Here is a 26,587-nt window from a genome sequence, read left to right on the forward strand (position 1 = left end):
GCTGGCTCTGTCACTTGCCACAAAAACACCCTCTCGGTAGGAAGATTTTCTGAGCTTTCGCTTCTCTGCAAAATGAGTGATGAGCCAAGTGGTACTATACTCCATGAGGATATCTCTATTTTCTGGTAAGATAAGAGGTCAGAATAAATAAGAATTTTCCAGAGGCCTACATAGTCAGAATAGGGCAGGAATACTACCAAAAAGCAGTCCAAGGAGCCTACAAAAATATATAAATGTAATAGAACCATTATAGTCAAGGCACAAATAATAATTAAGTCATGGAGGAAAAGACAGAGGGAGTGGAAGAGTTGTAGAATGTTCTAAGTTGAAGATACATATGTGATTACGCTTCCTTGTTAGTCCAAAAAAGGGAATGGGGCAATTATAATTCTCAATAGCTAATAAAAGGAAACTTAATAGTTTATCAAAGGAGAGATACTATAAAACAGCCTCAAAATCTAAACAGAATTTATTGTCTGGTTCATTATATAAGAAATGGTGAAAAACACAAATGACAATATCAGTAAGAACAGATTTTCAAAGCTCCAAAAATGTTTTTCATGATGTTTCTTTCTCTTGAAGAGATCTCAGTAACAACAAACCACCACCACCAGTAATGACCATAATAATAATGAACCAAGGGACCTAAAATAAATAACATGACTATATTGCAATAGATCTTTGGTGGTCAGTATTTCCCTTAGACAATACTTCTCAAATATCAACCATCTCAGACTGGCATGACTGGGCAAGGCCTATATACATGCAATGAAAAAGCACTATAAATGATTGCTGCTATTATTATCAGGTCATTCAACTTATATGAAGCAGTCATTAAATTAAAATTAGAATGACTTTGTTTAGGCAAATGACTTGCTAGAGGCCCACCTCCAATATGCCTTCTGAGTAGCCACAACTTACCCAACGAATGTTTTGGCCTTTGCAGGAGGGGGCCAAACATTGGGCGGGATAGCCATCTTTTCTCTGGAAAAGATTGGTAGATAAAAAAATTAATATGGATGATTATTTGGAACCATCTGGAAGAAGTCAATATGTTCAGGGTTTGCTAGGCTGACACATAAGTTTCTATGGGCTTCTGAGGTTTCTTGAGATTTGTCTGGTGTGAGATTGGATAGGATCCTGTGCCATAAGTTTCCTTAGAAAAATACATGTTTGCTGGTCCTACATTCGTTTACATATAAAACAATTATATGAAACAATTATGCAATATGAAAGCTTATATTTGCTTGACAATGATAATTTTGTAGAGATGACTCCAGAATTTCAATCACGTAGTATCTGATAAGTTACAGGTTTTAAAATGTCATTGTCCATTTTTTTAAACCAAATGAAGACTCACAGAAACATTCTCCACTTGCATCAAGATATTGATTACCACATTAGTTTATAATAGAGAACATTTGGAAACACCTACATAAACAAGAAAAAGGGAAATAAGAGGATTGTGGGTGTATCAGTTAGCTACTGCTGCCTAACAAACTGCCCCCAAACTCTGTTGTTTTGGATGAAAACAACAAGCATTTGTTTTTGCACATAAGCCTACAAATCAGCTAGGGGTTTCTTCTAGTCTCAGCTGAACTCTTGCAACTGAGGTCAGCTGGCAGTTCAGCTGGGAGCTGACGGGTCTGGGAAGCCTTAACTGTGATGACTGGGAAGATTGGGGTTTCTTTCCACTAATTTGTGATTTTTCTCAAATCTCAATATGATGGTAGTTTGTCTACAGCAAGGTTCCAAGGAGGCAAGCAGAAGTGCACAAGGCTTCTTGGGGCACAGGCTTGGAATTGGCACCCCATCACTTCTGCTATATTTTTTTGGCCAAAGCAAGTCACAAGGCCAGCCCATATTCCAGGAACTGGAAAATAAACTTCACTCCCTAATGGGAGAAGCTGCAAAATCACATTGCAAAGAATGTAGAAACAGGGAGGGGTGAAGAATTAGGAGCTGTTTTGCAATCTACCACAATGGTATATTCACTGGGTGGATTTTTCTCCAGTCATTAAAAGTGAAGCCTACGTAGCAAGTTTAGGAAGTTAAAAGGACAAAAGAAAATATTATGTGTTAACTTTTATTACAGCCATATAAATATACATGCAAAAAGGTTAGAGGAAAATATACATACATGATGGCTGTATAAGGATGGCAGGATGTGTGTTTTTGACTATTTTTTTAAAAAATATTCTGACAGCTTTAGTGGAGAACTCAAACCTCTTGTCATATCTGAATGTGGCATAAGCCACATTTCATTTCTTCAGTAGGGTTTTGCTGAAGTAACCAGTGAATTAACAAAAGAATTACGGAGAGAAAGAGTAAATGACCTATTTTTTGTTCTTTTTTGGACAAAATGATTCAACCCAGAAATTCCATGCCAAAATATTCAGCTGACAGAAGGAATTTAATGTGACATAGTATGCTTGCTATTTCTAGGGGAATGGCATTAGAGCTTTTAGAGTACAAAGCAAAAAGCCTTTGGCTATTAAAGTATTTTGCATAAGTGAAAACTTTCATTGTATGACTAAATCAATGAAGATTATCCCCTCAGTCAGAATTTCCTTTGTCTGCACGTGTACTCTCCAGGCATCTATTCTTGCTTTCGGTTCAGTAGTCGAGTCCTCAAGTAAATGACCCAATTTAAAGTAACAGTGAATATTGCGTTGAAGTTACACTGTAGATATTGATTTCATGGCCTTTGACGCCTTCTGAGGTCAGTCATTGACCAGCACATTGAACTTGGTCTCATGGGTTGACGTTAGCCACCCCTGGTATTGTCCTCACTAGTTTTAATTTAATGATTCTGTGGTTCTAATACAAACCTTCTCTAGAGTACAATTTATTCTCGATTGCTTTCGACAGGACTTACCTGTGGCCTTTTTAGCAAACAAACTGTGGTAGGTGATGGAAAGTCTAATGCATACTTACACTAGTGATGGGCCCTCATATGTGGCCAAAAGACACAATTCTCATGGTACAGCAAACGAAACCAGATTATAGAAATCCACAGCTAAAAGGCACTTTAGCATCTGAGGAAAATCAGGTCCAGGGGCTATAAATTATTTGCATGTGTTTCAGAGAGGTTGCTCCAAATCTCCTCTCCAAGTGTCTTCTCCACTGTCCTCTTGTCCCTAGGGGATTCTTTGTTACCTTATAGACAGCAGAAGGCTGGAAGAACCAATGCCCCAAAACATTGCGTAGAGCTGGTCTAGGCAAGAGGAGAATAACTGTATGAGACAGGGCTGGCTCATGCCCCATTTCTCCCTGCCTCTTGCTTCCACTCAGAATTCCAGAACTAGTTGAGGAAGGATTATAAAAGCTAGCAGTCTCTTGCCACCCTCACTCCCACCCTTCTCAGATTCTTGGTTTAATCCTCTAACCCAACCCAGCTGCTATGTGTCCTCAAACTCATTCCTCCCAGTTCTTAGCAAAACGTGTGCTCAGGGCTTTTGGTCTTTAAATGCATAACTTATTTAAAGCTCAAAATGCAATTCCTGTTCCAGGGATTTGCATGATCACAAGGATGGAATCTTCAAGGACTGTAACTTATAAAGGTTGACTTCATGGATGAACCTAAGGAAAGGGGAAAATGCCCAGCAGGTAACTTCAGGACTGAAGCAAGTCAGGGGACAGAAGTGAGGTTCTCCAAAGTGGGACCAGGAAAAATAATTCTCAAGTCATGCCTCCCAATCTAGAGCTCAGAGAAAAAGAGACACCAAATCACTGTATGCTTTGCTTAATAATGAAGAAGAGTTTAGCAACCCTATGTGCCTGACACTCTACCAGCAAGGGTCTCAAGGTGACTGGTGAACATGATGGTCCTGTGGAGCTAACAGAGGTGAGAGGGGACAGTGCTCAATGTGCTACTGAGACTTCCTGGAGTGGGGACCCAGGGCATTGCCCTGCTCAGATCCCAGGCTGACTCCTCACCCTCTGGTGTAAGGACCAGGTCATCCTTCTTGGGAAAACTCTGGTCATATTTTCCTTTTTAAATTTTTTCAAAAGAAGTCAGCAATCTGGGTTTTATGTAATATCCTTTTATTTTTAAATGTTGGAAACTAATTCCAATTGTGAAAACTCCTTTTGGGGAAACTGGCCCTCAATGAATGCCCTTTTATGACCTCTGCTGGAGTGGGTATCTAGGGAGGGGTGAAACAAAGTGGGACAAAGCAACACTCCCAAAATAATATCCTGTAACATAGGGAGTGGTACTGGGGGTTTTGAAGAAGGCTTTTCAGAGTCTCCCAGGGTGGCGCAAAGAGAGGAAGTGTAGGATTTTTGTTTGATGTTTCTTAAAGAAAGCCATGGTTCCCAAAGGCTGCCTTAGTGAGTGGCCACCCAAAAGAAGCCACACACATGGGACCATGTGCTGTGAACAGAGGAGTCAGGGAGCATGAGGCTGAAGTCCACAGGTGTGGGGTCACCACCACTACTCATGCAGGCATGTATGTGCCCACACTCTCTCTGCCTATAGACCATGTCATGGCTAGTGGGGCAGGAAATACTTTGACAGAGACGATCAGCAATATAGAATCTTGGACATTCGGTGCTCCCGACAACCTCAACAGTCTTTTCAACCTTGTCATTTTACACAAATAATCTGAGCCCAAAGAAGAAACAGACTTCTTGCTCCCAACTTTGCACAGCTGATTTACAGCTGAGCTGAGACCTTAGCTCAGGCCCCTGCCTCTCAGTGCAGACCTTGTCTTGAAACCCTTTCCTATCCCTCACCCCCATCCTCACTCCAGGAGAAGTTGTTGCAAAGGGGATTTGTGAAATGAAAAATCGAATACAGTGCATTTTGGTATCTTTGTAAGACTCTTCATATCAAAAATTTAACACGCCAAGAAAAATAATCCTTTCTCAAATCGCACATCCCAATTTAGGGCTCAGAAAAAATAGACACCAAATCATTGTATGCTTTAATTACGATGAAGAGTTTAGCAAGTCTATGTGCATGACATCCTACCAAGCATTTTACACGTGTTATTGCATATAATCTTCATGATTATCTCCATTTTACAGCGGGGGGAATTGAGACTTTAAGAGGCTATGAAATCTGCCCCAAGACTCAAAGTTAGGAAGTGATAGAGCCAGGATTTGAATCTGTATAGTGTCATTCAGAGCCCTAACGTAATAAATATGGTTCCTATAGCTGAGCCACCCCTAACTCCACTCCCAAGAGATAACAAAGGTCAAGTTCCCAGAAAGCTTTCTTCTGGAAAACCTACCACTGTCCTGGCATCTAGAGCATAGTCTCTTATGCAGAACACTAGCTTGAGCCCATTTCATGACACATATTTTTTTTCCAGGCTCCAAAAATGTGGTCTTCCTTTATTATGCCAATTAGGCAAGAACAGATGGTCTTCCTCTACTCAACAGTTAACCATTCAACATTTATGGAGAAAAATCCTAGAAGGGTTTATTTCAAATATGAAAAGTGCCAGCCCAAAGGAAAATTATTTGAATAATTCTCCGAGGTGGGAGGGGCAGTTCTAGAGGGAGACTTTCTGCAACTTTAACCAAAATGTCATGGAATGTGTACATTATAATGGCAGAATGTCTTGATCCCAGAAAAGTACACATAAACAGAGAGAGGTAATTGGAATCATCATTTTGACACCTGAAAGGATGACAAGAAACCTTTAACCTACAGATAATCAGTGGAGTGCACTGTCATTGTGAATGGCTCAGCCAGTCTGTGGGATATCACATTAGCAAGCTGGCTGGCTTATTAGAGACATCTAATTCTTTCATATACTTAGCACTGAAGTGGATAGGATTCAAAACAGCTTCCTTGTCTCTGACATGCATCCAAATTTTTAATAGCAGCTAAGTACCTTACTAAGCAATTGAATAAAATAATGCATTCAAGCCCCCAGAAAACCTTTTCAGACCTCTTTTTATCTCTACATTTTACTGATAGAGAATGGATTGTAATTCAAATTTATATACTGGGCACATGCCGAGCAATAGATTTTTTTTTCCTTTGTAAATCTCAAGCATTCCAAACTATTGAAGGAGTTAAGCAATTTTGATCATTTTGAAACTAGCTGTCAGATTTAATCTCTGCTAAGGAGACAGAGGGCAAATGTACTCTGAAGCTTGTTATATAATTTACAGATTATTTTTGCAATTTATATTCCATCAAATAGGGTATATGAGACTCTCAGAAAGTACGTAATGATCAATTAATTTCAGCAGAGCCATCCTGGTGTCACTTATGGGATAGACATGATTAGACCTTTTTCTAGCTGAGTCCCAAGGTCAAGTCATCAAATATGACTGATTACATTTTCTAATGGTTTCTCTATGCCCATTAAAGAGCACTCAACTATTCAGACTCTCCTTTGATCGTGACATTCAAAATTTGCTCTGATGGCTCCTGACAGGCAAAAATGTATTCTCTAATCTTTAACCACATAAACAATAGCTAACCACTTGTAATTGAGTTTAAATTGATTTCAGGTGGCTTCAGAGAAAAGCAATTTCTACAACAGATTAACCTCTTAATTAAAGTATATTAAGAATACTGTCAGGTGTAGAGATTCTGCTACAGAAGAAAATTATCCCTCATTGACATTCATTTATGAAAGAATTGCTGTTGTGCTCCCAGGTAACAGGTTACTTATTTGTGCTTCTTGCCTCACTAGGTCAATGCAAGTCTAGTTTCAGTCATTAGAATATCAGGGTTTTATAGGGGAAAGATGTGGGGAAAGAGAGGGAGTGTCTGAGGGGGTGACATGAAATAGGTATGTTCCAGTACTTAACGTCTTCAGAAAGTTACTTTTCTCAAGAAATGGGACTTTCCTCAAAAACCATAGACCCCCTTCAGTTAGCTGAGTAATGAGGAAACACAGGTGTCAACCAACATGTCAATAACAACTAGACAGGTTTCTTCAAGGTGTCCTTCGATGCACTGTAAATAGACACCATCTCTGTCCTCTGTGTCTTTGCTACTCAGACCAGCATCACTTGCGGGGACTGTGAGAGATGCAGAATCTCAAGCCCTTCAGGCCCCACCCCAGGTCTATGGAATTAGAATCAACCTGTTTTTCAACAGGATCCCCAGGGAATTCATTTGCGCTATTACAGTCTGAGAATTACTGCTCTAAGAGAATGTTTGTGCTTGGAGTCCCATAGTCTCAGGCTGTATCTATAAAACATCAAAAATATTTGATTTGGTGAATAAAACACAGTGGAACTGGTTATGGAATATCATAGAAAACAAATTATTTTCTCCGCACTCTTTACTTTTTATCTCCTTCCTTTGAAGACCCTTCTAGCTTCCCATATTTTATATCCTGGCTGTGAACACCCCAGGTGAATTGAGTCTCACCCACCCAGGACTGGCCCAGAACACGGGACATACACAACTGGCTTTAGAATCAAGCTTTATTCATCCCTGATCCTGGAAGTTTGCTTTCTTGGCTCTGACACCTTCTTTGGCTCATGTCCCTGAATTGGTCTCAGTCTCTTTTTTTCCCCAGCCTGGGATTTTGTTGCTGCTCTCTCTGAACTTGCATTTTTTAAAATCTTTCCCATTTAGTCCTTTTTTTTTTTTTTTTTTTTTTTTTTTTTTTTTTTTTTGAGACAGTGTCTCACTTTGTCACCCAGACTGGAGTAGTGCAGTAGTGCTATCACCGCTCACTGCAGCTTTGACCTCCCAGGTTCAAGCAATTCTCCTGCCTCAGCCCCCCAAGTAGCTGGGACCACAGACACATGCCATCACGCTTGGCTAATTTTTGTATTTTTTGTAGAGATGGGACGTCGCCATACTGCCCAGGCTGGTCTCAAACTCCTGAGCTCAAGCGATCTGCCCACCTTGGCCTCCTGCGGTGCTAGGATTAGAGGCATGAGCCATCCCACTTAGTCTCAAGATATCTAGAGGAGGTTTCGGTTCTTACCTGTCTAAATTTAGAGGTTTGCAGCATGGACTTTTACTCTATAGGTGGCTTGTGGTTGTTAAAAGGGAGTTGAACAAAAATGCAGCTGTGCTCAGCAGCCAGGTGTTGTTAATAAAATTGGTTGCAAACAGAATCCCTCAGGCTTGGCTGCACATTAGAATCCCCCAGGGAGATTCAAATTTTCCAATGCAAAGGCCCCGGCCCCAGATCAACTAAATCAGAATTCCATGTCCTCAGCATCAGTGGTTATAAAAAGCTCCCAGGTGAGTCTAATGAGTAGCCAAAGTTTGGAAATACCAGTTTAGAGAAACTTCTATGTCCCAGTCATGCCCATCCCCACTCCCTCCTCTGGGCCTCAGTAGCAGTTCACTTCTTTTATTCTACTTAGTCTTTTTCTCTTCACCACCAAAGCATTTAGAAAATAATGAATGAAGAATGTAAGCCTCTGGGTGTATTCTTAGGGTGGGGACAGGAAGTGAGGGGTGGGGAAGGAAGAAGTTACATGCATGATCTCTCACACTGCTAAAACTATGCAAAGTTTGCCAGAATGGATATTAAACTGACCCCAACATCCCCCAGTTTAAGTTGCACCATTACTGCAGAAGAATCATAGAAAGCGAGAACATGGAACTCTAGAAGGCAGGCAGACAAAGCATCAGAGAAGAGATTTAACATGGCACAGCCCACGATCTTCCCACTTGCAATATTCCAAACAAAAAAAAATACCCCCAAACTTTGTGTCCGTAAGTGGAAGTTCTAAACCTGTGTCTTTCGAGGCAAAGCAGAAAGGGCACCAGGTGTTCTGGTGAAGAGTTAATCTGCCCATGCCCCAAATCAAGGTGAGATGGAGAAGGCAGCAGCAGTGCAATCCATACCAGGGCTCTTGGCCTGGGACCCTTCCTTGGGTGGGTCTGAGCCTGCACTGGAACCAGGTGAGAAGAGCTGCAGAAGGCAGGTTGAAGGAAGGGAGCCAGGGTGCTCCTCACATGCTCCCTCTGCTTACCTTTTCTCTCCTGGGTTAGGAATTCACAGTCACTGATGCAATTTGTTGGGTTCTCTAAGTGTCTTCCCCAGGCCCTACAGATGAGCAGCACCTGGGGACTTATTAGACATGCAAATACTCCAGAGGAGGGCTCCACCTCAGACCTCCAGAATCAGACACCTTGGAGGTGGGGCCCAGCCACCTGTGTCTTCAGAAGCCCTTCAGGAGTTCCTGATGTGCACTCAAGTTTGAGAACTACTATTTCATTTCATGCTTCTTAGAGCTTGCTTTTGTGGCCATTTGTTCAACTGGTCTGGAAAGGGGAAGAAACTTTGAAAGTGCTTGTTCTCCATTCAGACTGCTGATTGTTGATGCAGAATAGCAGCTGGGGTTACTGGCCATTTCTTCCCAGGTCCCCCTTCCTGAACCTCTCATCTTCTGTTTTCAGGCTCCTGGCTGTAGTTTCTGGTCCCTGCAGTCTGGCTTCCTGGATATAATCTTTGCCTGTTGAACCTGAGGCAGCTGCCTCTTCCTTCCCGCCTCAGTTTATCTCCCAGGCTCCAGACCCTGCTCCTCTCTCTAGGCCTCCCCACTATGCTTCCTTCTCTCATAAAAGTTGAGGCCCAGCTTCATCCTCTAGTTGGCATGGAGTCCCAGATGATGCCAGCTCTGTTCATCCTCTTTGTTTGCCCTCTCCTGGCCTGCTACGTTTAGTTAGCAAACATGCTGCTATTAGCAAATACTTTTGAATGAAAGAATTAAGTACTTTTTGGTTTCCAAAATCCTTCTACCTGCATTATCTCATCAGATCATTGTGACAGTGAAAGTACGATCCCTATTTAACAGTCAATAACACTGAGGCCAATCCAGATTATAGTCTAGTTAATAGAGCCAAGACTGGAATTAAGGTCTCTGAATCCTAACTCAATGCTCTTTTCATTATGCTGCTTACTTAATTCATCTCTTCACAGAGATGCGTTTCAGAGTATTTTCCACTCTCCCCAATAGCACACCATTAACAATTCATGCAAGGTAGATTTTTAATCAACATTCACCTACAGCAAGAACTGGTTTAAGCTGGACAAATTGCAAAGAATGTAGTTTACCTCATTGCACAGGTGCACACCACCAAAAGATTTAGCAGAAGATAAGAGGATGGATGTTTGGCCACACAGAGATTACCTGCAGCTGTGGTGATTGGTTCCTGGGGTCAAAGAGCCTTTGCTGATCAACAGAGTTGATTAATGGGTCAGTAACTCTTGTAGTTTAGAAATCAAAAGATTTTCAACTTGAACCTTGTATTGGTTTACATTTACCTCTCATTTCTTAGGCAGGTCGATAATAAATTAGGGCATTTGAAAGCTAGTATGATTTCCTTTAGGGTCCTCTGCTGTAAGCCCCAGTCTCTGAATGACAGTGTTTGCCTGGAAAAGAAGCAACCACCTGCATCTGCTGGCTTGGGCCTGCCTGGAGGTTAGAGGTGTGATGCCCCCGACACAGGGCACAACCATTCCCCAGTGTGTGGTGGGGAGCAGAGTGAACCACTCACCTATCCCAGATTCTGCACTGGCCTGTGTCTAAGAGCTTAGATTGCAACACTGAGGTGCCTGTTGCCTTAGCCTCCATGACTGAGGTCTTGAGCTGTGACATCCACCCTCACCATATCCCTACCTGTACTTGCTGCCCCATTTGGACCTCTGACAAGAGGGCAAACAGATAAGGGCAAACCTCCTCTGGCCTATGGGGATGCAAGGCCATGGCTATGCCTTCTGGTTCTGACCACAGCTCTACCTTTGTGACTCACACTAACAACAATCCTGTTTCTTATTTCACCACCTGGCCCTCTGGTGCCATGTGCTCTTTAGATGGTCCATCCCCAAGCCCAGCTGTAAATTATTTTGGTCATTTTGTTGCCAGTGGAGGGTGCCCAGGTTATTGGCATCCTGAACAAAGAATTGGACAAAATGCTCAAACAAAGCAAAAAAAGAATGAAACAACAAAAGCAGAGATTTATTGAAAACGAAAGTACACTCCACAGGGTGGGAGCGGGCCGAGCAAGCAGCTGAGATCACAGTCACAGAATTTTCAGGGGATTAAATACCTTCTAGTGGTTTCCCATTGGTTACTTGGTATATACCCTATGTAAATGAAGTAGTGGCCCACTACCAGTTTGATTGGTTGCAGGAGAGGACCAATCAGAGGCTGAAGCAAAGTTACAACGTTACGCCCTATCAAGCATCTGATTAGTTGCAGGAAGCAACCAATCAGAAGCTGAAATGAAGTTACAAAGTTATACTCCTATGTAAATGAAGACTTGGCCTGCGACCAGCCTGATTGGTTGTGGGAGGGGACCAATCAGAGGTACTTTCAATTTCTGCCACACAGAAAAGGGGAGCGTTGCAAAGGGAGTAGCCTCTGGTCCTTTTGTTACTTGGGTGTGGATAGTTAGGGTTTTCCTTTTGATTTAGTTCTAGAAAGTCAGAGTGAATCAGCTTTAGGTTCCCTGCCTCCAGGCCCTATTCTCCTGCCTCAATTTCTGACCTGTGCTTCTGTGACCTGGCCCTGAAAGAGCCACCAGCTCTCTCCAGCTCAGCAGATGATCCAGTCTTCACTGGTAGAACTGCCTTGGCTTTAAATTCGAAGCATGGTTGGAGCTTAACAAATGATAGAAAAAAATATGGAGAATTGAATTGATGGGTGAATAACATTTGGAGAACAAGCATAACCACACTGGCCTCAGCTCTCAAATATTAAGGAAGCTAAGGGGAGCTCATCATTCCTTCCTAAAGTCAGATTACCCTGATTCTGTAGATATGGAATCCTGTGGTTATGCCTCCTCACAAGTGATGTAAATTTACAGTTGTTATGAGATGACCCTGCATGTTCTCAAGCAAATGACAGTAAAGAGGATGATAATGAGTGAATGAAATAAAGAGAAGTAGGAGAAAGAAATGGGCAATAAAAAATAGCTTTTAATGAGCACATACTCTGTGCCAGGCACTGTGCTAAACACTAGCACACAGCAGCACACTCAATCCTTACAATAATCTTATATAGTAGTGATATTACCCCTAATTTACAGGTGATGAAACTGTAGTGGAGTCAGAATTTGGTTCCAAACCTGCACTCCTAACCCCTTTGTTAAGCTCCTTTCCCCATAGGAGGCGAATTCTCTACTCTTAGGCTTTCACACTCATTTGGCTTCAAGAAGTAGTGGCTAGGTTGGCCATCCCCTATCATTGTCATATGTAATGTTTTTACCAACAATACTCTTTGATGCTAGGGCGCATCTGTGTAATCCCTTGCAAAGTTGAAAAACTGAGTTCATCAACTAGGGCAAGTAATTTCAGCTCACATGTCCTGGGAAAATAACTGGACTTGGATCTAGTTCCTGCCCTGACCATGTGGCCTTGAAAACCACTCACCTGCTCTGAGTCTGCTCTCTAGCATTCCATGTCTCCATAGTGTTGTTCAAAAATTAAAGGAGCCATTGGCGTAGAAGCACTCTATGAACTGTAAGGACTACAAAAATAAAAATTATTTCTATGTCATAAAAGAAGTTCAACTCCTTTTTTTCCGCTGAATTCACTAATTACGTAAAAGTCATGGAGACAAGATCTTCCATGGCTGGATTCATTCCAACAACAACAGATTCCACAAACATCCAGTAAGGTCCTCACATGAGCCAGGTGCTTTTATAGTTTATTTTCTTTTTTCAAAGACAAGAAACAATATGTTTATGACCAAGTAACTTCTGCATCTTCTCATATTTTGGCAGGTATTATACCTGCTGAGGATTAAATACCTCGAGCTGGACTTGGATAGGTCAGTTAATTGGGATTCAGACACCCTGGTTTGATTCCACAAACAACAAGTTGTCCTCCACTTCCTTGGCTCACAAATGTGCACACATCTGTGTGGCCCATGGGGCAAGGTCAAAGTGTTTTTTCCTGGAGGCCATTTTGTCACATGTAGTCCCTACAAGACAGTGTGGATGAGTCACAGCAGATCCATCACCCTTGTAACAAACAGCTTAAATGCATGCCCTGCTGAGCATGAGTCAGGGTAAGGGCAGACTTATAGGCAATCTCATTCCGGGCTTTCTATTTTTTTCCATCTGGCTTCTCTTCCTGAGTTTGTTTTGCCTTTCGCTTTTTTGTAAAAAAAAAAAAAAAAAATTAATATCCATTTTTTGAAACTTTCTTCTCAGTGCCTTGGCTAAGAAAGAGATAGGATATGTCTTTTCAGGGAAATGTATTCAATATAAGCATGGTATTTATCCATTTATTTTAACTAAACATATACCAGAAACTTATTTTTAATACTTTTTAATTGAGATATAATTATAGTGCCTTACAATTCACTCACTTCAGTCTATGATTCAACAATTTTAAATATGTTCACAGAGTTGTACAATCATTACCACAATCAATATTAGAACATTTTTCTTGCCCCCAAAAGAAATTCTGTCCCTATTAGTGGTCACTCCTCATTTCCCCTCAACCTCCCAGTCCTGGGCAATCACTAAACTACTTTCTGTTGGTATAGATTTGCCTATTCTGGACATTTCATATAAATAGAATCATTCAATATGTGGCCTTTGGCTTCTTTCATTGGCATAATGTTTTCAAGTTCCATCCATGTTGTAGTTCTCAAAAACATCTGTGTCTTTTCAGTTAGGAACTCAAACTCATGCTGTTCCTTCCCATAGAACTTTATCTGACTCCCTTGGAAAAAATAATAATAAATAATAAAAATATCCTGTAGCAGGTGCTATCTATGCCAGGTACTATACACATAACCTTCACAATAAGCTATAAAGGAGATATTATGTTCACTATTTTCCAAATTAAGAAACTAAGAAAGGTCATACTACTCATTAAGTCATACAGACAATATTCTAACTCAGGTCTCTGACTCTAAACCACTCTTCTCCTCTACCCCACATAGTAGGTCTGTCTTGGAAGATGAGTCATGGTTATTACCAGCATTGCCATAAACACCTACATCACATTTCTCTGAAATCCAGCACTGGCCCATGGTTGTGGCTTTGACTTGCATCAGAGGAGTACAGAGAAGACGCTCATTCAACAGGAAAAAGCCCTCAAACACAGACTACGCTGGAGGTGAGGCAGAACGCACAGTGGTCAAGACTGCAGGACTCTAGAGTCCAAAAGACCTGGCTTCAAACCCCAAACCAGTCACCCTTTAGTTGCATGTACTTTAGGTAGTTACTTTCTTATTCTTGATTTTCCCCCATATAATTGAGGAGGATAGTTTCTACCTCATAGGGCTGTTATGGGAATGAAATAAAAGGATGAAGGCTTAGCATAGTGCCTAGCACAAAGTAAGTGCTCGACAATATTTGCAACTCTTGGTTATTATTACTGCATTAGACAAAGGTGAAATGGCATCTTATCAGTCATCCAAGAAGCACGTTTATGGACCCTGCATGTGCACACACACACAAACACACCAGTGTAGTTTGGGGGTGAACTGCTCATCCTATTATCATCTCTAAAGTATCCTATTCATAAGGGGAAAGGGTTTAAGTGTAAGAAAGAATAAAGCAGGAGCAGACCTACAACATGGACAAGAAGACACCCCCAAGGACCTGAGTGAATGATCTCCACGGAGCCCTGAGCTGTAAGGAAGAAGGCATCCAGGAGGACAGGTAGCCATGCTGTCACTGATTTTACAGTAGCAAGCTATGGATGGAGAAGCAGCCTTTGGAAAGTTCATTGAATTTGGCAGGGCTCAGTGGCTCACGCCTGTAATCCCAGCATTTTGGGAGGCCAAGGTGGGTGAATCACAAGGTCAGGAGTTCGAGACCAGCCTGGCCAACATGGTAAAACCCCATCTCTACTAAAAATACAAAAAATTAGCTGGGCGTAGTGGCGGGTGCCTGTAATCCCAGCTGCTCAGGAGGTTGAGGCAGGAGAATTGCTTGAACCCAGGAGGCGGAGGTTACAGTGAGCCGAGATCGCTCCACTGCACTCCAGCTCCGGTGACAGAACGAGACTCCATCTCAAAAAAAAAAAAAAAAAAAAAAAAAAAAAAAAAGTTCACTGAATCTTGCAAAAACATGACTGCCATAGCAGGAGAGTTTGCCAAATTATGCAATTCAAAGCAAAACCTCCCTGCCCACCCCCACTGTGATGTTCAGCTTCTGGCTACACCAAAAGCAGTTGCTGGCAAGAAAATCACTTATTTAAAAAAAGGCTTTTTGGCATATGGCAAAAGGCGAGAAGTTGAAAGAGAACACTAGAGGAGTTTTTCCCTAACCTTTTATTAACATGATTTTATGGCTTTGTCAAAATGGCATTAACCAAAGCTTAATAAAACTCATTTAAAAGCTTTTAATTGGAGAAAATAACTTCCTATGAACATTTTGGGTAAGAACTCTATCATACAGATATATGTTCATATGCACATGAAGATGTTTACTGCAATATCTTTAATCATTGTGAAAAACAACTGAAAGGTCCAAAACCAGCAGAATGGTTAAGCAGAATATGGCCCAAGCATCTAATAGCATACCGTAGAACTATTGGAGTTAATGGAGTAGGCTCATGTTTATAAAGAGTGATGTGAAAAGATGTAATTTGAAAAATATCAGTTCATTAGATAATATATTTAGTGTTTGGTTTCTTAATAATGTTTAAAGATAGCCTGGAAGGAGACACATTCCCCTGTTTGTACAGCTTGCCCCTGGGGTGGGGCCTGGGTTGCTAATGGGTGCCAAAAGCTTCTGCTTCTTGCTACCTAAGCTTCTACAATTCAGAGCTTAAGGACATAGATATGGACTATTCTTCACCTTGTGCACTCATTTCTTACTGTTCCTCCTGCCTGCAGGGCCTGCTCCCTCCTCTCTCTCAGGACTTGGCTCAAATTTCAACTTCTCTGGCCATTATCTAAATTCTAACCCTTCCCTCCCTCCCTATCTCTCTTCCCCGCTTTGCTTTCTTCCTTAGCATGTGTCAATATCTAATGTTCTATATATTTTATTTATGTGTCATCTTTATTATCTGTCTCCCTCAACAAAATGGAAACTATCAGGGCAGGGATTTTTGTTTGTTTTGTTCACTGCTATAATTCTACCCCCTGGAATAGTGTCTGGCACATCGTCGAGACTCAAACATTTGTCAGTCAATTGACTAAGGCAGGAATGTTCCCAAAATATTTTGGTAACAAACAAATATATATGTACATGTAAGTAAATGTGTATAAAGGTCTATGTTTATGTATATGTAAATGTATATGCATTTGTGTATATGCATATTGGAATAGCTGTTGAAATTATAACCAATGTCAAAGGCAAGTATAAAGATATTGGTGCTCCAAGACCAGAGGAGGACCCGTAAAGAGCAAGCTCCACACCTGCCTGTGCCTTCCTTACTCTTGTCCTCACTTGGGGTTACTTTTTTTCCTATGACAATAGTTCTTCAGTGAGTGCCAGTATTTATAGAACACATTAAGTTAAATTAATAAAGACAATGAAGCCATTTCAATATTTTAAGCAGTTGCTGCTTATATTAAGAGGGCAGGCTGGATGCAGTGGCTCATTCCTATAATGCCAGCACTGTAGGAGGCCGAGGCAAGAGGATTGCTTGAGTCTGGGAGTTGGAGACCAGTGTGGGCAACATAGAGAGACCTCATCCCTTCAAAAAAAGAAAAAATTAGCTGAGTATGGTGGTGCATGCCTGCAGTCTCAGCTACTCAGGAGGCTGAGACAGGAGGATCACTTGAACCTAGGAGGTTAAGGCTGCAGTAAGCCATGAGGGTGCCGCTGCACTCCAGCCTGGGTGATAGGGTGAGACCCTGTCTCAAAAAAAAAAAGGCAGTTCCTGTCTTATATTAACCTCAGAATCCACTTTATTTTATTTCTGGTTACACCAGCTTAAGTAAATTTTGATTTATACAGATAAATACTTGCGAAGAGTAACTTTTAAAATAAATAGGTCAGCCTCGGGGGCCCAGGAAATGATCTAGTTCACCTGAGATGGCAAGAGAAGCGTTAGCATAAAATTTGCAAAAAATGAGATGTGGCAGCACATGTTTGAATTAGGGCTATCTCCAGCAAATGAAATTTTACACAAAGCAAATCTATGCCAGTGTAGCTAAAAACAACTTTTTAATAGTAAAACAAAATAATTTCTTCAATAAAATGTGAACGAAATGGCTGTAGTTTATCCAAGCCACAGCAGATAGAAGAGGTGTGTGTTGGGTGGGGGTGGGGGTGGGGATGGGGGTTTCTGCAGGTTTACACATTTCAGAAGCCCCATCTCCACCCCCACCCAACACACACCCCTTCTCAAGAGAGACGATAATGCTGCCAGGTCAAAGGGGTGGTAGCAATTGCTATCCTCTGGGTAGTTTCACAGTTTTTGCTTGATTATGGCCATTTAAGATCAGTATCAGCTATCTCACTGTAGCCCCCTTGAACACTGCCAAGAAACATGAACTTCTATCTCTGAATTGGCTCTCAAGTAGAACTTGGTACCCTCACTGAAGCCTCTATCTTAATCACACGCTTGTTGGATTTTTCAATGCAATTATTTTTAATGAATCCATCCTTACTAATGTAGATCCCACATAATATGGTTCAACAGAGAATGAACCCAAAAGAAAACCCAAATTCCTTGCCTTGCTCTCCAAAACTGGGCTTTTCTGTCTTACTATTCTGTCTCTTCGCCTACCTTACCCTGTCGTGCACGTCTCCAAGCTTTCTCTCTTACCACCTGGCCTTTGCTCTCGCTGTTCCTCCTTCTTGCAGTGCTCTTTCCCTAGCTATTTTCATCATTAACTTCTCATGTTAAATGGTTTCTTCTTGAAAGGTCATCCCACTACTGCCTCATCTGTCCCACCAGGCTCTCTCTCCCACAGTGTTTTTGTTGTTGTTGCTCCTGGCATATCTCGGAGTGTTTCAATATCTTGCCTGTTGATTTCTCTACTTGGGTATTATGGGTCTCCCTTCACTAAAATTAAAGCTTTGTGATGGCAGCAACTTTGTCTTGCTTACCTCTGCATTCCCAATGCCTAGTACATAGTTAGTATTTAGTAAGTATCTGCTGAATAAATGAATGAATGAATGAATGAATGGAAGTACCTGTGATATGACATAGTATAGAAAACACAAAAGATAGTGCCAAGAACCAATAATTGAGAGCACAGGGTATATACAGCCATACATGAGAGAAAGCTTCAGGGCCAACAGACACAGACAGAAGCAATCTGGGGAACCATAAATAATCAGAAGCCGGATTTTTGTTCAGAGAATAATGGAAGAATTAGCCCCTCTATACAAATACAGGATCAATCTAGAGGCAGCTTGTACCAGGGAAGTCTTACAGCCATTAAACTAAAGTTAGGAAAAAGATTCAAATATTTGGAGAAATATTCTTAAAACTAGGCAGGCCTTTGGTCTATGGGCCTACCCATGAGTCCATGTGAACCAGGCAAAAGTCTTTGGGAAACAGCCTAGATAGAATCCAGAATTGAGTTAAACCAGAGCTCTTTTGTTTTGATCCCTCCTAAGATATGAAGGTCAACAATTGGTGCTGAGGACTAGGGTGAGCTGACGTAAGTTGGGCTAAGAGGGTGACCCCATGCAGGGAGACACTGGGAAACAGTCAGAGACCAAAGAAGAGGAGCAGACATGTGTCATCATGATGACGTTCAAAGGTGCACTGGGAAGGAGGGAATGCTATCTCCAAAGCACACTTGTGTAATGGGCTCTTGCCCCACAACAAAACACTCTCCAGACCCCACCTAGGCCACACATTTCCACTCTCCCATCTTTGCATTTGCTCTTCCCTCTTCCTTGGAATACCTTCTCCCTGTTTTATCTGGCAAACTCTAGCTCACCCTTCACAAGCCAACTCACATGTCAACGCTGTTGTGAGCCCACACAGCACCCCACGGTATCCAAGTCTGGGTCCCTGGCCTTGCATAGCTGTGGGATCTATTCTGTCCCTGAATCAATCATGGCATTTGTGCCATAAATGAGTCTGCATGGGTGAGAGCAGTGGGAGGATCTTGCCCAGGCCATGTCTCCCCAAGCTCACTCTCGGGGCAGACAGGCTGGCACGGTGAGAAGGAGCAGTGGTCAGAGCCACACTGAGCTCATGTCTTAGTCATTGCCCTTCACGGTCAGAATGGGACAATCCCCACTGCCTGATGTTGAGGCCCAGGCCGGGTGCCCGACATGTGACAAACTGCGCTTTTTCAGGCTGAGCTCACACCACCCATTAGCTGGTCTGTGGGAGCTGCCAATGTTTGTGGAGTCTGGAGTTCCTCCTACCTGCATCTGGAGTTCAGAGTTCCCCAACACTTTGACTCAAAAACAATGCCCTCCAGTTCTTATTGCCAGAGGCATCCATCTACCCTGTGGCTTCTCTCAGTTAGCTAGTCATTCGGTCAACACTAATGTGGAACAGGGAGTGCACAGGGCTAGACTTTGTAGGGCTGGACAGGGAAGACAGCATGCAGGAAACCTGACTCTGTGGGGCTCCAGCTCTGCAGACTCCCATCTGGGACAGTTGGTGACTGACCCAACAGTCGGCAAAAGACTCAAGCAGTCAACGGAGCCTTTCAGAGGTGAGGGAAAGGAAACACACTTCAGATTAGACAAATGAAAAAACCGAGGTAGGGAACGTTAGGAGTTGAAACATTACATAAATTACCAAAAGCCAAGGTTCCTGTTTCCCTCAGAGGCATGCTCTCTGACACATATAAATATATGGTGGTCCCATTAAAACCGTACTTGTGTGATATGTATGCCACAGATGTATTAGTGAGATTTCAGCACGTGAGGATCACAGCTAATGGGAAGTCCTCGCATTTCATAGTCTGGCAGGCCTGGGTCTAAATCCTGCTTCTTTGGCGCCATTCATTGTGTGTGACCCCAAGGCAAATCACGCCATCTCTACACATGCATTGTATCACCTGTAAAATGAGTTTATTATTAGTTTTTAGCAGGAGCAAATCTAATAATATGTGTCTTGTGGTTGGCACCATATCTCGCCCCCTGTAGACATTGAGAACAGTGTTTCTGAAATATATCCTATTAAATTTCCAAGGCTTATTGTCCCAAGCAAGGGTAAAGTTAATTCCACCTAGACTAAAGAAGGTCATAAAGTAGAAATGCATAAATAAATCAGTAGAAATCTTCCATCAAGTGGGAAAGAGGGTGATTGGACATTAAGGGATGCTCCTTCCAGCTAGAAGGGAAGAACAAGAGGGAGGCAGGAGCAGAGGAGAGGACGGGACACTGGCCAGCCCTGGGGAGGTCCCCACATCTCTTCATCCACCAGCCCTCAAGTGAACGTTGAGAGGAGTCAGGGTGAGCAGGGTAGTAGGGAGGGACTCTACAAGTTTAGGAAATGGCCAGAGTGCTGATGTCAAGTCCTTCTTTCCTTGGGCACAATCAGAAAGACTAAAAGACTTTTGTGGAAGGCCGATTAGGATTCAGGGCAGCCAGCAGGGTGAGGGAGCAGGTAGAAATGCGTAGATCTAGGGAGGGCACGGAAGCCACCTCCTGAGCCTCACATGATAGAGGCGGGTAGGGAGAATGTGGCTGAAGGTTCCCCAGCCTCCAGAGGCCTCAGCGATGCTGCAAAGATTAGAAGACCAGAAAGGGCAGAAGGTCAGGAATGAGAGGCTTGCAGATCCAGGGCTCTCGGGACAGAAGTGGAGACTCAGTCTATAGACACCCACAGGAGCCCTCACAGACACCTGTGCAGGATGGCCAGCCCCAGGAGGGAGGAGGACTGTCTCAGGCGAGGCCAGCAAGCACCTGGGACACACTTGAGGACTTCTCCCTGCCATCAAGGTGCTACACAGGCTTCCCTTTAGACACAGGCACCATCAGAAGAAGAGAAAGAAAAGAAGGGCAACAGAAATCCACAAAGACTACCCCAGCTTCCCCAAATAAACTATGCTAACCTGCAAGAGGCCATTAGAAATCAGAGACAGAATTACATTAAATTGGAAAATTTAAATGTTCCCTCCCTTCCTCATCTGCCCTTCTGCTACTGAGAAATTAGGCTTTGAGAGAAAATCAAAGCACATTTTAGTTCCTTGCAAATCTCAGTACTAATGAGTAAATTTCAATGCCCCACTACTTGCTCAATTATTAGTATTTTTTCTATTATTCTATATAATATTGGTAATTATGATAATATTTGACCATTTTAACCCATAAAAATGGCAGTTTCCAAAGGTTCAAGTGAATAATATTAATTGCTACCTTTATGAAACCAAGGTGTAGAAAAAGGGGGGCTCCCTTCCCTCTGACACCAGAGAAACTATGTCTGAAGGTTGGGGTGGGGTCTCAAATAGGTCTGGGAGGCCAGGAGGTCAATGCTTTGGTGCGTCTCTGCCTACTTGTATCCATTTCCCCTTTTCCACCATTTCTTCATCCAAATCACCATATTCAAAAATAGGGAAATCAAGCAGTGTGCAGTGTGCAGTGTGTTTATAAGCTTGGAGACATTTCTGACAAATGAAAAGAAGGGCTTCTTCATACAGAAAAGCCTTACTTAATAACTGTGGTACTTTTTACTGTAAGAAGTAGCTCAGGCTGGATATCGTTTGAAAACACAAAGCGAGTCACTGACAGCCGCATCCTCTGAGGCCAGTATCTCACGGTTTCCAATTTTATTTTCCACAGATTTGAAGTGTGTGAAATAAAGAAGACAATATACATATTGGCCCTTATTGGAACATGTTGCTGATCTAGAACGGAACAATTAGATGAGTCTAGGCTATTTCTGGACTCCCCATCTCCCTGTCAACTGGGAACAAGCTGGCCCGTGACTCCCTAGCTCCCCAGCAGTCATGACACAGTCTCATGGTTAGAACCGGATTCAGCAATCCTGAAACCACGTCTCTGAACAACCTCCAATGTGAGAATTCCTCCTACAGACTTCCCTTGAACAAGGACACAGTCTCAGCTTAAGCACCTCAGGCCACCGGGAGCCCACTTCTTCTCCTTCCATTGTTTAAGAATGTTATTCCTTATTTCAAATCACAATGTGACAACACGCACTGATTAATAGGATGGGTTTTGGAGCTGGAGAAATATAGAGTCTAATCCTGCCCCTCCCTGTTGCTGGCTGTGTGACCATGGGCAAAGGCATAACCTCTTTGTGTCTCAGTTTGTTGTTTCCTAATGGGTAAAAAGGGGATCCAGTCATTACCTATTTTGGAGAGCTACGGTGAGGATTGGTTAAAGAACTGCTTGTACAGTATAGACAGGACCTAGATATAGTATCCATTCAATTAATGCCATACATTAATATATCATCACAGTTACTGATGGAGTTATGCCTTCCAGGGTGACAAAGAACAAGACCAATACTCTCTTCCACTTTATATATTTAAAGACAGCAGTTATGGGTCTTCTAGCTGCACCAAGAAAGGTTCAAGTTCTGTTCTTGTACCTTCTGTAACAACCTCCAGTTGTTACAGAAGCAACCCTCCAAGCCCAGATGACCTACCTTTGTCTTGAGTAGGACAGTTCTGAGGTCCAGTTCTCCTGTAACTTGGAGGACATTTTTTGGCAGCTCCCTGCCTCTTCAAAGCCCATTCTATCCTTGCTTCTCTCTCATCTCTTACAGTTTCCTGACCCTCACCCAGTGCATGCCTGGCCTATCATTAGCTAGAATTAGATACCTTTGGTTTGATGGTGTTTATAGCCATCCATAGGCATACAGATATCAAAGGGCAGTGGAGTGTGGCAGGTGCACAGGGATTGACTTTGGTGAGTAACCAGGGGAAACCTAGAAATGCCTATTGGGGTAGTTGGAATCAACATCACAAAGTCCATCAAAATGTCTCACCTGGGCTGGGCGCGGTGGCTCACGCCTGTAATCCCAGCACTTTGGGAGGCAGAGGCAGGTGGATCACGAGGTCAGGAGATCGAGTCCATCCTGGCTAACACAGTGAAACCCCGTCTCTACTAAAAATACAAAAAATTAGCCGGGCGAGATGGCGGGCGCCTGTAGTCCCAGCTACTCGGGAGGCTGAGGCAGGAGAATGGCGTGAACCCGGGAGGCGGAGCTTGCAGTGAGCCGAGATCCCGCCACTGCACTCCAGCCTGGGCGACAGAGCGAGACTCCGTCTCAAAAAAAAAAAAAAAAGTCTCACCTGGTGATGTTTCTAGACCACATGTAGATCTAGTTTCCTCATGAATGAAATTGGATAAGCGCCTGAGCTAACCTTGTCCCTTATCTTTGAAGACGGGTTTAACGCAGGTTTTATAGCCAAGCTGGGTCAGTGGCCAGTGCCCAGGGAAGCTTGGCCAGTTCTTGAAAAGGCCCAGGGCTCTGTGAAAAGACCACAGCCTCTGCTTCTGAACTGGGACCACACAGGTTTGCCTGGGGGTCTCCAGTATGGTGCTGACCATGTAGCCACAGACGACTTCAAGCTACTCCATGATGAAACCCCAGGCTCTGCCTGTTCAGAGTGGGATGAATGAGGAGCAAATTCGCGGGAGCAGGAGGAGCTGTCAGGAGTCAGAGTATGCCGTCATCATCACACACCTCCCTGGCTTCAACAATGCTATTAAAACTCACACATTTCCCCTGTCTGTGTGTATGCGTTGCAATGTAAGTCAAGCAGCAAGATTTTATCTCTGTATCAAGATAATTTATTAACAAGGACGGTGCTGGAACCCTGGCATGATACTTTGAAATGCCAGCTGTGGCTGCGGGCCAATTTAACCACAGTCTGGAAGCTCGATTTAAAGAAATCCATCTATGGCTTATATAGGTAAGTTTATATTATTCTCCTTCTGCATCATAGCCCTTAGGACAAAGTGCATGTGAAGAGAGCTGGTGAAGGGCAGACTGCTACAAACTAGTTGTCGAGTGGTTCAGGAAGGAGACCAGAACTCAAAAACAAATCCCAGGGAATGATTTCTAGTTAGTCATCCTTTGCGGACTGACTTTAGAAATTATGCAAGGGGTGGAAGACGAAGCCTGAGGGTGTTACAAGATGTGGTCCCTGCCTCACTTCATCTTGCCTCCCCTTGCTTCCTCTTGTGCACCCAAAACACTGGCCTTCTGCCTGTGCCTTCAGCTCCCCAGCTCTTCCCTACCTCAGGACCTTTGCACTTGCCAGTCCCTGCTGGAATGTTCTTTCCTCACCTCGGCTTAACTGTCACCTCCTCAGAAATACTTTCCTTGACTACATTATATAAAGTAAACTTTATGCCCTAGTTTCTCTCTCTCTCTCTCTCTCATCCTCTTGTTTCATTCCTTCACAGCACTCCTCTAATTTGAAATTAGGTTGTTTATTTATTTGTTTATTATCTCTCCTGACTAGAATGTAAATGCCGTAAAAGAAGAAATCCGGTTTTACATCCCAGTGCCTTATACATAGAAAGCACTCAATAAACATTGAATGAATGAATGATATTAGCATAATCATTTAAGATTCTTAATGAGAGGAGAAAAAAAACTTTTCTTGATTTCCAAGTAGGGAGAGATGAGGAAATAAAGCAGAAAATGGAAGAATTGTTCACTGCCAATTAGCTTGAGATTGAAACAACCAGAAAAGCAAAAATCTGAATGCGTCATTATAAAATGCAAACAAAGGCAGTTTGCAAATAGGCATGGGATGATGTCCTCATGAAGCAGATGGATTATAAAGTACCGAGGATGACTACCTCCTACCCCTCAAGACCTGTGCCCAGCTCCTGCATATAAGGACAGCATGACTTTTCAGCCCTTCCTAAGAACCCTTCAGCCAGAAACACTTCAAATGAGAGTACAAGAGTCTCGCTGACACCAAGCGCCAGCAAGTCCTTGTCATGTACAGCATCTGGGCAGAAGTAAGAACATCTGTTCCCAGCATGAACCTTATTAGCTTCATCATTTGGCTTTCAACCAAAAAAATGTACAATTATGATACATGGGCTTAATGGGTGGCAAGGTAGCAACTAATGCTCTGCAGCAGATGAGCTCAGGAGCAGGCGTGGCTATGGGGGTAGCGGCCATGCAGCGGGGGCAAGACACACCTAGCAGCAACAGCTCCATTACCTGGAGGCAACCTTGCAGCAACCGCAGGTTCTAGAGACAGAGGACAACTGGGGACTGGAAAGAAGAGAGAGTGAGAAAAAGGAGGGAGAACGGAAGAGGAGGAGAGAGGAGAGAAGGGGAGAAAGTGAATGAGAGGCATGAGAGTGAAGCCATAAAGACCCCACCCAGACATAAAAGTGAGGGTGAGGGAGCGGGGCAGACAAAGTAGCTCTGCCTGGCACATGGTAGAGCAGGATGTCCCACACACTAAAGCAGGGCCGCCTGGGTCTGCACCTCATCTCCACCACTTCCCTGATGTGTGCACTCAGGCAAGCTGCCTCGTCGCTTTGTGCCTTAGTTCTCTCAACCCCTGAGAGGGGAAAATCACAGCACCTACCTCAGAGGGTTGATGTGAGGGGTAAGTGTGTTACTCTGCATAAGGCACTTGAGCAGTACTTGACATGGAGCAAGCTGCCATCATCGCATCATCATCATCATCATCATCACTACTACTACTATCATCATTACTTGTAAGACTGATTTAAATACTCCTTATATACTTGCATATACTCCTTACAGCATGATGAGCTAGGTACCAGTATTATCCCCACATCGCGCAGCAAGCGTGTGGAAGTGAAAAGCTGGGCCTTAGCAATCTGCCTCTGGAGCCCGTGCTCCTTACCATCTCCCAGGCAGGACTCAACAGCCTCCCTAAGAATTGCCCTTGAGCTTGTCACTGCCATAATAAAAACAACAGAAGCAGCACAGACTAAAGCTTATGTCTGGGTTTGTTACATGGAAGGCCAAGAGCAATCTCCTTCCCTGGGCCTCCTTATTACAGGTAGCACTCCCTGCACCTAAGGAAGCAGGATTGAAATTAAGGAGACGTGGGTTTGAATCCCAGCTCCACACTCAAGAGCAGTGGGCATGCCTGCGGAGGTAAATGGCTGCCTCCTGCGCCTGCTGCTCTCTGCTGGAACCAGAATGAGACACCCCTAGGTCTGTGGTGAGGATTCAGCAGGGCTGTGGAAGTAGAGCTCTCCCAGTGTCTGGCAGTCAGCATATCATAGATCTAGCATCAGTACAAGACAGCGTGTTCCCTGTGAAAGCTGAGAAATGCTGGGAAGGGGAGACAGGAAGATAAAAGCAGGAGGACGGAGGGAAGCTTCAGCAGACGGCAGACAAGGAAGCAGCATCAGAGCGGGTGATGAGGTGGGAATGAAGGCTGTGGGAATGGAGGTCGCAGTGGAGTGAGGTGGGCTCTAGAGAAACAGGGAAGAGCTGGCCTCCTGGGAGCGAAGAACCCTGCTCACCTCAGCACCCCAGGTCTCTCCCAATTACATTATGGGTGTTCCTGATAGCAAAATAAAGTTTCAACCAAAGGCTGAATTATGTGCAAAATTCTCTATATAAGAGGTCAGGGGTTTACACCTCTTAAGAGGGCTTCTTACAAAATTGTTAAAATGTTATAGAAGGTACGTAAAGTGGGGGTATGTTACTAACATCCAAAACAAAGCAGATTATGAAGAAAGGTTCATAGTCAATGGATTCTAATAAAACTGAGGAGTTGCTGTTTGTATTTATGTATGGTCCTTCATCCTGGAAGATGCCTTCTTGGTGTTCTAGTCACCTGGGTGCTGGCATATGAATAACTGTTTAATCCT

At 43.2% G+C, this 26,587-nt stretch overlaps 1 protein-coding gene across 1 annotated transcript in view; it reads right to left on the reverse strand.

Moving 5' to 3' along the window:
* Nucleotides 1-26,587, reverse strand: part of LOC124903162 (uncharacterized) — a 138,590-nt gene that overhangs the window by 39,438 nt on the left and 72,565 nt on the right. Inside the window, exon 2 of the mRNA XM_047430821.1 lies at nucleotides 922-984. Within this exon, the coding sequence (XP_047286777.1) occupies nucleotides 922-984 (63 nt within the window). The remainder of the gene's footprint in view (nucleotides 1-921; nucleotides 985-26,587) is intronic.

This window comes from Homo sapiens, chromosome 13 (genome assembly GCF_000001405.40).
Source record: "Homo sapiens chromosome 13, GRCh38.p14 Primary Assembly".
NCBI lineage: Eukaryota > Metazoa > Chordata > Mammalia > Primates > Hominidae > Homo > Homo sapiens.